Source organism: Homo sapiens, chromosome 8 (genome assembly GCF_000001405.40).
Source record: "Homo sapiens chromosome 8, GRCh38.p14 Primary Assembly".
Taxonomy (NCBI): Eukaryota; Metazoa; Chordata; class Mammalia; order Primates; family Hominidae; genus Homo; species Homo sapiens.
In genome coordinates this window covers 8,114,208-8,127,313 of record NC_000008.11, presented here as the reverse complement: position 1 = coordinate 8,127,313, position 13,106 = coordinate 8,114,208, and the positions used below count along the sequence as shown (strand labels likewise).

At 45.1% G+C, this 13,106-nt stretch overlaps 1 long non-coding RNA gene and 1 pseudogene across 1 annotated transcript in view; both read left to right on the top strand.

Annotated features, from left to right (window-relative positions):
• FAM85B (family with sequence similarity 85 member B) overlaps window positions 1–13,106 on the top strand; it is a 126,742-nt gene that overhangs the window by 100,190 nt on the left and 13,446 nt on the right. The window lies entirely within an intron of this gene.
• SNRPCP17 (small nuclear ribonucleoprotein polypeptide C pseudogene 17) lies at window positions 10,365–10,601 on the top strand (annotated as a pseudogene).

Below are 13,106 nucleotides of genomic sequence, written 5' to 3'. Positions count from 1 at the left end.
TTTAAATGTCACGAACTTTAAAAATGCCTTTGCTTTTGGTAAGAAACCCTAGTTAGGACACCCTAGCAGTCAGGATGATTTGCGTTCTGGTGCTGTAACAACAATCCCCAAATCTCAGTGGCCTCATGCAGTGAGGTATTTGTTTGTTTGTTTTTGAGACAGGGTCTCACTCTGTCACCCAGACTAGAGTGCAGTGTGCAATCTCAGCTCACTGCAACCTCTGCCTCCCAGACTCAAGTGATTCTCCTGCCTCCTGAGTAGCTGGGATTACAGGCCCATGCCATCACTGTCTGGCTAATTTTTGTACTTAGTAGAGACAGTATTTCACCATGTTAGCCAGGTTGGTCTTGAACTCCTGACCTCAAATGATCCACCCGCCTTGGCCTCCCAAAGTGCTGGGATGACAGGCATGAGCCACCATGTCTGGCCACAGTGAGGCTTATTCTTGGTCACGTTGCATGTCTGGGCTGTGTTAGGGCATTGTGGGGTGGTCTGTTCATTGTGTTCACTCAGGGATCCAGGCTGACAAAAGCCCCATCTCTGCATGTGTCCTTGATCACCACTTCAGGGGAAAGAGAATGTGGTGGATCATAGAGCCTCTTAACACTTCCACCTGGAGGTGACTCAAGTTGCTCCTGCTCGTGGTTCATTGGACAAAACAGATCAAAGAGTCATGGGCAACTTCTCTGTGCCTGGAAGAGGAACCAAAATATGAATATCTACATTGACTTTCCCTAGCTATTACACAGAAGGTCTCATTTAAATGCAGTTACTTATTTGTGTTTTGAAGCTAATTGTAGTCCATCAAACTTCACAGAAGATATGTGCACTTCCAAGCTATTACTAAGCACAATTTTTTTTATTTTTTTATTTTATTATTTTTTTTTTTTTGAGACAGAGTCTCACTCTCTTGCCCAGGCTGGAGTGCAGTGGCATGATCATGGATAACAGCAACTTCTGCCTCCTGGGTTCAAGTGATTTTCATGCCTCAGCCTCCCAAAGTGCTGGGACTACAGACAACCACCACCGCACCTGGCTAAGTTTTGTATTTTTAGTAGGGATGGGGTTTCACCATGTTGGCCTGGCTGGTCTGGAACTCCTGACCTCAGGTGATCCACCTGTCTCAGCCTCCCAAAGTGCTGAGATGACAGGCGTGAGCCGCTGTGCCCGGCCTTGAGTATGATTTTTGATTGGGAAGGTCAGAGTTAGGGTTTTAGTCTGAGGACAGTATGATGTGAAGGTGAAAAGCAGAGCTTGGCTGTGAGTTTGCTGGGATTCCTGTGCTGCTTCTACAGCTCTTTGGCTGTGTGACCATCACCTTTGGCAAGTTCCTTTACCTTTCTATGTGTTGGCTTCCTCATCAATAAAATGGAAAAACTAATCATAATCATAGTATCTGTTGGTGTTGGGATAGCCCAGTGGTTGACACATAAGGACTCAAAAATAGTTTTTTTTAGTTTTTTTTTTTTTTTTTTTTTTTTTTTGAGACAGAGTCTTGCTCTGTTGCCAGGCTGTAGTGCAGTGGTGCAATCTCAGCTCACTGCAAACTCTGCCTCCTGGGTTCAAGCGATTCTCCTGCCTCAGCCTCCCTAGTAGCTGGGATTACAGACACCTGCCACCACTCCCAGCTAATTTTTGTATTTTTAGTAGAGATGGGGTTTCACCATGTTGTCCAGGATGCTCTTGACCTCATGATCTGCCCACCTCAGCCTCCCAAAGTGTTGGAATTACAGGCATGAACCACCGTGCCCGGCTCAAAAATACTATTACTAATTTTGGGGGGTAGTTACTATATTTTGTGAAAATCAGAGTTCAGTACCTTGTAACACTGGGTTGGGATCTATCCCTGAAGGAACAGGCTTCTTAAGAGGAAGGCATGGAGTGAGGGGCAAAATTTTAGTTGATGTTGTAATGACTTTAGGTATATGGATCTGGGTCTGAGTTCTAGCTGGGGCCACCAGGTAGCAAGGTGAACTTTGCTAAATTCTATCACTTTCCTGGGCCTCAGACTCACTTGTTACAAATGAGGTTAAAGCATCCCTCTTTCAGGGCTAAGATAAAGATGATTAAGTAAGAGGGAATGAAAGCAACTTCCATCAATGGTCAAAAGTATTCGTTTAAAAAAAAAATATATATATATATATTTTTGAGATGGAGTCTCTCTCTGTTGCCCAGGTTGGAGTTCAGTGACATGGTCCCGGGTGACAGCAACCTCCGCCTCCTGGGTTCAAGTGATTCTCCTGCCTCAGCCTCCTGAGTAGCTGGGATTACAGGTGTGTGCCACCACGCCTGGCTAATTTTTGTATTTTTAGTAGAGACGGGGTTTCACCATGTTGGCCAGGATGGTCTCCATCTCTTGACCTTGTGATCCACCCACCTTAGCCTCCCAAAGTGTTGGGATTACAGGCATGAGCCACCACGTCCGGCCCATTTAACTTCTATATTACTTTCCTGTTGGTGGATTTACCAGTGCAAACTGAGCAGCTTAAAACACCACCAAGGGTCTGGGCAGGGTTTAACTGGGTCCTCTATTCAGGGTCACAGTACTGCAACCAGAGTGTCAGTTGGAGCTGGGGTCTCATGGGATGCTCAGTATCCTCTTCCAAGCTTATTCAGTTTGTGGACTGAATTCAATATCTTGCAATTGTTGAATGAAGGCCCTCAACTCCTAGAGCTGCCACCTCCAAAGACAGCTCACAGCATGGCCATTTGTGTCTCCTTGGAGGCTAAGGGTTGAACCTCTGAAACTTCACCTTTAAAAGATTCACCTGATTAGGTCTGGCCCACCTAAGATCATCCTGCTTTGGATGAACTCAAAGTCAGCTGAACAAATGTGCTTAACAAAGCAACTGTGACCATAATCACATTTGCAAAATTCCTTCCTCTTGGCCAAATCACAAGCTCTGCACACACTCAAGAAGAGGAGATGATACAGGGAGCAGATATAAGGGAGTGGGTCTCTTGGGGGCTGTCTTAGTATTCTGTCCATTACAACTTCCTTTCTTGAGGAACAGCAGGCCTGGGGAGAGATGATCACAGATGAGGGCAGCCCACAGGTGGTGAGAGCCTGGTGCTGGTGTAGGATGCAGGAGGCTGTGAAGCAAGTAGGAAAAGCCTTCTCTGGGCTGGGTGCAGTGGCTTACACCTGTAATCCCAGCACTTTGGGAGGCTGAGGTGGGCAGATCACGAGGTCAAGGGATCGAGACTATTCTGGCCAACCAACATGGTGAAACCCCGTCTCTACTAAAAATAAAAAAATTAGCTGGGCATGGTGGCGCATGTCTCTAACAACCCAGCTCCCCAAGTGAGCAACTCTTGTCCCTTTTAAGGGCTCACAAATCTAAGGGAGTCCACATGAGAGGGTCATGATCGATTGACCAAGCAGGGAGTACGTGACTGGGGGCTGCATTCAGCAAACCCCATCTCTACTAAAAATACCAAAATTCAGCAAAGTTTCAGGATACAAAATCAATGTGCAAAAATCACAGGCATTCTTATACACCAATAACAGAGAGCCAAATCATGAGTGAGCTCCCATTCACAATTGCTTCAAAGAGAATAAAATACTTAGGAATCTAACTTACCAGGGACATGAAGGACCTCTTCAAGGAGAACTACAAACCACTGCTCAATGAAATAAAAGAGGATACAAACAAATGGAAGAACATTCCATGCTCATGGGTAGGAAGAATCAGTATCGTGAAAATGGCCATACTGCCCAAGGTAATTTATAGATTCAATGCCATCCCCCTCAAGTTACCAATGACTTTCTTCACAGAATTGGAAAAAACTACTTTAAAGTTCATATGGAGTCAAAAAAGATCCTGCATTGCCAAGTCAATCCTAAGCCAAAAGAACAAAGCTGGAGGCATCACGCTACCTAACTTTAAACTATACTACAAGACAACAGTAACCAAAACAACATGGTACTGGTACAAAAACAGAGATATAGACAAATGGAACAGAACAGAGCCCTCATAAATAATGCTACACATCTACAGCTATCTGATCTTTAACAAACCTGACAAAAACGAGAAATGGGGAAAGGATTCCCTATTTAATAAATGGTGCTGGGAAAACTGGCTACCCATATGAAGAAAACTGAAACTGGATCCCTTCCTTACCCCTTATACTAACATTAATTCAAGATGGATTAAAGACTTAAATGTTAGACCTAAAACTATAAAAACCCTAGAAGAAAACCTCAGCAATACCATTCAGGACATAGGCATGGGCAAGGACTTCATGTCTAAATCACCAAAAGCAATGGCAACAAAAGCCAAAATTGACAAATGGGATCTAATTAAACTAAAGAGCTTCTGCACAGCAAAAGAAACTACCATTAGAGTGAACAGGCAACCTACAGAATGGGAGAAAATTTTTGCAATCTACTCATCTGACAAAGGGACCTATGACTTTCTTATAACCAAGAGAATATGGCAGAGGTGACAGGATGTAGTGATTATGTTAGATAGATAGGATGTTAAGTTGTCTTGCTAGGAGGCTGTCTGTCTTGCTGGCTTTGAAGATGTGAGCTGCCATGTCATGAGCGGCCAGATGGAGAGGCCCATGTGGCAAGAAGCTGATGGCAGCAAGAAACTGGGGCCCTGAGTCCAGCAGCCTGCAAGGAACTGAATGCTGCCAACAACCAGATGAGCCTGGAAGCAGATCAATCACCAGTCAAGCCTCCAGATGAGAACTGAGCCCTGGCTGACACTATGGCCACAGGCTTGCATTGAACCCAGCTGAGTCACACCTGGATTTCTAATCCACAGAAACCGTGCAGTGGTAACTGTTTGCTGTCTCAAGTCACAAAGTTTGCAGTAATATTTTTGCACAGCAATAGATAACTAATATAAAAACTGTCCTACATCATGTACATTACTGAGCGAAAAGTAGAACCTGGATTTGAGCTCTGATTTCAGAGTTGACTCCCCAGGGAGACCTGTCCTGGGAGACAGTTATGCCAGGCTGTGATGCTGTGATGATTGTTCTCTTCCTACTCAGAAGCTTTCAATAGGCATGTCAAGCATGTGAACCCAGCTACATATACCAAATATATTTCTGACAAATGCCAGGACATCGTGAGCTTTCTTATTTTACTGAGAGCTCCATAAAGGAGGGACCATCTCTGTCTTTTTTTTTTTTTTAATAGTCTCACTCTCACCCAGACTGGAGTGCAATGGTGCGATCTCGGCTCACTGCAGTCTCTGCCTCCTGGGCTCAAGGGATTCTCCAGCCTCAGCCTCCTGAGTAGCTGGGATCAAAGGTGTACATCACCACACCCAGCTAATTTCATATTTTTGGTAGCGATGGGGTTTTGTCATGTTGGTCAGGCAGATCTCGAACTCCTGGCCTCAAGTGATTCGCCCACCTTGGCTTCCCAAAGTGCTGGGATTACAGGCATGAGCCACTGCACCTGGCCTGTCTTTTTTATGTTATGTCCACGTGAAACAGCCCAGTGGTCAGCACACAAAGGGGTCCAAATGTGAAAGGGCAAACACAGGGGAAACAGGGGTGTTCAGAAATAGTTCCCAGGTTACTGTCTGTTTCAATATGTACCGTTCTCGGCCCCACCCACAAGATTCTGACTTGGCGGGTCAGAGTTGGAGATGGGGGAGCTACCTGGTTACGAGGGATCCCAGTGATTTTGAGGCAGCTGGTTGTTAGACTGCACTGTAAAAGTTACCCCCCAAAGATGTGAAGGGATAATTCATGTATTTTTAATAGAGATAGGGTTTCACCATGTTGGCCAGGCAGGTCTCCAACTCCCAGCCTCAGGTGATCCGCCCGCCTTGGCCTCCCAAAGTGCTGGGACTACAGGCATGAGCCATTGCTCCAAGCACTATTTTTTTAATGAGGCCAAATACACATAACATACAAGTCCCTGTATGAAATCATACACTTCAGTATCATTAAATACCTTCACAATGTTAAGCAATCATCATCTCTGTCTAGTTCCAAAACATTTTCTTTAACACCCCCCGCCCCCCAAAAAATAACCCTGTATCCATCAAGCACTCTCCATCCCCTCCCCTTTCCCCCAGTTCCTGGCAACCACTTACCTGCTTTCTGCCTCTACAGATTTGCGTATTCTGGACCTTTCACATAAATGGAATCATGTAATATATATAATAACCAAAAGGTAGCAACAACAAAGATGGTCATTCGGTTTATGAATGAATAAACAAAATGTGCTGTATCCGTACAATGGAAGTATTGGTGCCTACTACATGTGGATGGAACTTGGAAACATCACGCTGAGTGAGAGAGAGCCTTGGTATTGTCTCATCTCCCCAGGAGATTCCAAGATGCAGCCAAGGTTGAGACCCACTGACAAGCAATGGATAAGGTTGGGTGCAGATGAAATAAGGCAGCCAGGGGCAGGAGGGACGTCTCATTGAAGACGACTATTTGTGGATGCCTAGCAGGGGTGGGGATGAGGTATGATAACAGCAACCCCAATCCCAACACTGCGTGACCGATTTTATCTTCAGCCAGCTGATACGCCTCATGGGGTTTGGACACAGGACATCTCTGCCTCCCAGGTTCAAGCGATAACTCCTGCCTCAGCCTCCTAAGTAGCTGGGGTTACAGGCATGTACCACCACGCCTGGCTAATTTTTGTATTTTTAGTAGAAACGAGGCCTTTTCATGTGGCTCAGGTTGGTCTCGACCTTCTGGCCTCAAATGATCCACCCACCTCAGCCTCCCAAAGTACTGGGATTACAGGCATGAGCCACAGTGGCAGCCTCCAAATTCTATTTGAAGTTCGACTTTCCACCTCCAGAAAATCCAAACCTTTGCCCAAGTCACAGTGGGACACCTCGGAGTTAATGTGAGAGAAATGTGCTTTTAAAAACAACTCCAGGCCTGGCACAGTGGCTCACGCCTATAATCCTAGCACTTTGGGAGGCCGAGGCGGACGGATCACGAGGTCAGGAGATCAAGACCGTCCTGGCTAACACGGTGAAACCCCGTCTCTACTAAAAATACAAAAAATTAGCCGGGCGTGGTGGTACATGCCTCGAAGCCCAGCTACTCGGGAGGCTGAGGCAGGAGAATCGCTTGAACCAGGGAGTCAGAGGTTGCAGTGAGCCGAGAGTGCGCCACTGCACTCTAGCCTGGTGACAGAGAGAGATTCCGTCTCAAAATAAATAAAACCCTCCGATATGAACACCAAACTAGAATCACTCCATTGACTTCCCTCCGCCAATCAGGGGGAGTGATGGTGATGGTGCATGAGTGTCTATTTGCATTCAGTCTCACTCAAAGGAAAAACAAATCACAGCCCAGACTGGAGCTGTGGATGAATAACATGGCTGAGTGTTGGTACAGGCTTTCCACAGCAATACTAAAACTGAAAAAATCAGCAATGAAACTCCCAGCCACATTTCTGCCAAATGATTTGGGGGAAAACAACAGAGGCACTCCTCAACTTTTCCTTCGCTGCACAAAGTGGGTTTGGCTGGAAATGCCAAGTGTGCTTGTTGCTGGGATCTTTCAAATGAAAGCAAGCTGGGAGTCAAACTCCTGCAGCCACAGGCCAGAAATGGGTTTAGAGCAAACTATTATAGTAACACTGGTGCACATCGAAACAGATTAAACTCCCTCACAGCAATCCAGATTAATTGAATATGCTTTCTTATTGGCATACTGCGTTTCTCATTAAAGCAAATGAACATCCATCCCTCTATAATAAATTAGGGCCAAAAAAAATTCATATGTTTAGGGCATAGGGAAGGAGGAGTTGTTGGCTGTTAAAAAAAAAATACTGCAAGTGGCCTTTGAAAGTCTAGACATCTTCATCATAAACACAAATATTCCTCTTCACAAAGAGACCTCAAGTAACCTTAGGCTGGAGGGCCCACTTGAGTATGTTTTTCTTCTCATTCTTTCTTACCTTCCCTCCAGCCCACCCAACCCACATTCAGTGACCAAGTCACGTGGGTTTTACCTCCTAAATCTTTTCAGATCCGTTCACTGCTCAGCCACTCTCCTGACACCACCATAAACCAAGCCACCATCACTTCCAGCTGTTTGACTGCAAATGCCTCCTCACTGGCCTCTGTCTTCCCCTGGCCCTGTGACAATCTGCACTCCTCACAGGGACCAAAGCAATCACTTCAGAAGGTGCATCCAAACAGATCACTCACTTTCAATGGCTCCCACTGCTCTATGGGTTAACAATGATAAAAGCTCAGCCGGGCACGGGGGCTCACGCCTGTAATCCCAGCACTTTGGGAGGCCGAGGCGGGTGGATCACGACGTTAGGAGATTCAGACCATTCTCGCTAACACGGTGAAACCCCGTCTCTACTAAAAATATTAAAAAAATTAGCCAGGCGTGGTGGCGGGCGCCTGTAGTCCCAGCTACTCGGGAGGCTGAGGCAGGAGAATGGCGTGAACCCGGGAGGCGGAGGTTGCAGTGAGCCGAGATAGCGCCACTGCACTCCAGCCTGGGCGACAGAGTGAGACTCCATCTCAAAACAAACAAACAAAAAACAATGATCAAAGCTCACCTTTACTTAGCACACTCTATCTCAGTCCATCCCTACATCACCCTTGATTTCACGAGTGGGGAAGCTGGGACAAAGAGTAGTTACGTGGGATGCCCAAGGTGGGACCACTCGTATGAAGTTTCCACACACTAATGTGAGACCCTCCATGACCTAGCCCCTCTCTTTCTCCAGCCTCATTTCCTGATTCTTTCGCTTGCCCTGCAGGCTTCAGCCACACAAACTTCTTGAAAGTCCCTTAAATCTGGCTGAGCGCAGTGGCTCACGTCTGTAATCCCAGTACTTTGGGAAGCTGAGGCGGGTGGATCACCTGGCATCAGGAGTTCGAGACCAGCCTGGTCAACATGGTGAAACCCCATCTCTACTAAACATCCAAAAATTAGCCAGGTGTGGTAGAGGGCGCCTGTAATCCCAGCTACTAGGGAGACTGAGGCAGGAAAATCGCTTGAACTCAGGAGGCAGAAGTTGCAGTGAGCCAAGATCACACCACTCCACTCCAGCCTGGGCGTCAAGACTGAAAGTCCGTCTCAAAAAAAAGTCCCTTAAATCTGCTCTATGCCTATCAACCTCAGGGACTTCACTATGCTGTTCCTCACCCTGAAATGCTGTTCCTCATTTCTCTACATAGTGAACTCATCCCACCCCCTAGGTCTCTCCTTAAGTGTCATCTCTTCAAGGAAGATTTTACTTTTTTAATATAACTATTAAAATATAATTCAGGTACCGTATGATTTGCCCATTTAAAGTGAACAAATCAATGGTTTCAGTGCATTCACAGAGGTCGGCAACCACCATCATTATCAATTTTAAAACATTCTCATCACCCCAAAAGGAAACCCTGTATCCATGAGCAGGTTCCTGCCATTTCCTCCTCCCACTAAGCCCTGACAATCTACTTTTTTTGAGATAGAGTCTCTGTCACCGGCTGGAGTGCAGTGGCACAATCTCGGCTCACTGCAACCTCCGCCTCCCGGGTTAAAGCAATTCTCCTGCCTCCCGAGTAGCTGGGATTACAGGGATATGCCACCATGCCCATCTAATTTTGTATTTTTAGTAGAGACAGGGTTTCTGTCTTCATAGCTTTGCGTGTTCTGGACATTTCATATAAATGAAATCTTATAATATGTGACCTTTTGTGACTGGTTTCTTCCACTTAGCTTAATATTCTCATAGTTCATCCGTGTTGTAGCACGTGTTAGTACTTCATTCCTTTTGATGACTGAATAATATTCCATTGCATGGTCAAACCATGTCCTATTTCTTTACTCATCAGTAGACAAGCATTTGTGTTGTTTTCACTTTGGCGCTATTATGAATAATGCTGCTGTGAGCATTTGTGTACAAGTTTCTGCAGGGACATATATTTTCATTTCTTCCATAAACTGGAGTGGAAGTGCTGGGTCATAGAACTCTGTGTTCAAGCTTTTGAAGAAGTGCCAGACTGTGTAATAAAGAAAGCCTTTCCTCACCCTGTAAGACCGAGCTCCCTCTCTCCATTTATACGTTCTCTTTATGCCCTTTGCTTCTCTTTCAGAGCAATTCACGATGAGCTGGGTCACCCTCAACTTAAGGCTCATAACTCCCTTAGACCCTCAGGGTCCACACTAAATATGATGAAATATGATGCAAGCCACATATTTACTTTTGCATTTTGTAGTAACCACATTTTAAAAAGGAAAACAAAAGAAGTGAAGGTAACTGGAATAATATCACAGATTTAAACAAATCTATCCAAAATACCAGGTCTACATATATAAAATATTTTAACATTAACAAAATATTTTGCTTTCTTTTTATATTAAGGCTTCACAATCTAATGTGTATTTGACACTTCTCACACATCTCAGTATGATGGCAGCACCCATATGGGAGGCCCTCCCATGATGCCAATGATGGGCCCTTCTCCTCCTGGGATGATGCCAGTGGGACCTGCTCCTGGAATGAGGCCGCCCATGGGAGGCCACATGCCCGTGATGCCTGGGTGCCCAATGATGAGACCTCCTGCCTATCTCATGATGGTGCCCAGTCAGCCCAGAATGACTCGACCAGACAGATAAGGATAGAGGGGAGGGCTCATTACATCAGTGTTGCTTTTTTGGTGTTATTGTTGTGCGTTTTTTTGTTTTGTTTTGTTTTTGAGACAGAGTCTTCCTCCGTCACCCAGGCTGGAAGGCAGTGGCACGATCTCAGCTCACTGAAACCTCCACTTCCTGGTTTCAAGTGATTCCCCTGCCTCAGCCTCCTGAGTAGTGTGGGACTACAGGCATGTGCACCATGCCTGGCTAATTTTTTTTATTTTAGTAGAGACAGGGTTTCACCATGTTGGCCAGGATGGTCTCAATCTCCTGTCCTCGTCACCCGCTTGCCTCAGCCTCCTAAAGTGCTGGGATTACAGGTGTGAGCCACTGCGCCCGGCCTGTATGAGTTTTATATTTACCTGCTCCCTTCACCAGGAGATCGTGCCGCTGTGATGCTGGCTTTTCTTAACAGCATAAGGAAGACTTGCCCTCTTGCCCCATCAAAGAGAATAGTTTTGGAGGGGAGAAGTGGGACCAAAAAAGATGCAGTTTTCATTTGTATTGGGAAATGTGAAAATAGAATTGTCAACTCTTTTAGTTAAAAACGAAAAAAAAAAGAAAAGGAAACAAGACGTGGGGCTGCCATATGCAATACCATGGATTCCAAGGATCTTCTACTCTGGAGGGAAATATTATCTTTGCTGAAGCCAGACCAACCTGACACAAAGACCTTTTGGTTTTTTAATGTGACTGTGTTTTATTTTACAATGTGTAATTCACTTTAGAAGGGCAAAGTACCTGTCTGGGGAAGACTATTTAATTTCCTGCATTTATTTAGAATGTTGGCTGATGTTGTTATGAAAGGAAACAGCTCTAACAACTGAGTGCCCCCCACATAGCCACAGCTCATGAGTTCATGGGGCAAAGGAATTGAACAGCAGCCTCCTAATAGCCGGCCTTCTTTGTGGTATGGAAATGATTATCAACATGTAAAAGACTATATATATATTCAACAATTCTGACCCCCTGCAAAATTCAAATCCACAACTGATTTGCTTCCTGGGCTCCTGAAAACAACTTTGTCAAAATTGTTTAGAAATAAAATCAGCCAATTGTTGCCCCTTGGGGATGCAGGACAAAGCAAGTCAGCCATGACCAATGTGGAGTCGGCCGTACACAATTACATGCAGACCTGCAGGACATCGAGTCCCTGCTATGGTCCCTCCCCAGTCAGGCCCCCATTGCCTGGGCTGCAGCCAGAAGGATTCAGGCACAAGTGCATTCAACAAATATTTAATTGCATTGGTGGTTAGAGGGTTGCGGTTGATTAAGGTACATTAATGGATCCATGTCCTCCCTGTATCCAAGACTCTGCCATTTGTCTCTGCAGTTCCTCCCACTGAAGAATCGGAGTATATTTCTCCAGCCCCTAATGTTGGGTTTAGTCATGTGTCTAGCTTTGGCCACTGGAATATTAACCTGCATGACCAAAAACTTGGAAAGTGTGCATTCATTTGTGCTCGCTCACTCCTGCTATCACCATGAGAACAAGCCCAGGCCAGACTGCTGCTTCCAGCAGAAGATAAGAGACACCAAGAGCGAAGTCGAGCTTCTGAGACATGCTCATGCCAGATTAACCAATCCTCAGCTGATCCATAGGTCCATGAAAATAAACGATTGTTGTATTATGCCACTGAGATTTGGAGTGACTTGTTATGCTGCATTTTGTGACAACAACTAACTGATACAAGGGTCACCGTCCTTTATCTCTGTAGATTTTAACCAATTTTTAATAGCTAGATGGAGATCTTCTAGTTGCCTTTATTTATAATGAATATGACTGTAGAGCTAGTTTGGCCTGATACTACCAGTAACCTACCCAGAAATTCAGAAATACTTTCTTCTCCAACCCACCCCAACCAACCTTTTTTTTATTTTGTTTTGTTTTTGGGTTCTCCATCTTTGCCTAGGCTAGAGTACAAGTGGTACAGTCAGAGATCACTGTAACCTCAAAATCCTGAGCTCAAGTGATCTTCCCCTTCAGCCTCCTATGTAGCTAAGACTACAGACATGTGCCACCGTGCCTGGCTAATTTTTTTATTCTTTGCAGAGACAGGATCTCACTATATTGCCCAAGTTGGTTTCAAGCTCCTGGCCTCAAGCACTCCTCTTGCCTCACCCTCTCAAAGTGCTAGGATTATAGACATGAGCCACCACACCAGCCTCTTCTTCTTTTTAAATAGAAACCCTATTTTATTCTGACAGTAGGTTGCTTTTTTTTTTTTTAAGAAAAATTTGGCCCAGCCCCAGGGAATAAATTGTGACTGGTCTAAACAGGGTTGGCAAACTATAGACCAAGGGCCAAATCTGGCCCTCTGACTGTTGGTATAAATTAAGTTTTATTGGAATAAAACCAGGTCCATTCATTTATGCATTTTTTACATATGCTTTTAGGCTACAATGGCACCACTGGGTCACTGCAACAGAGGTTATCTAGACCAAAAGCCTAAAATATTACTGTTTGCCTCTTTATGGAAAAAGTTTGCCATTCCCTAGTCTAAGGTTTAGAT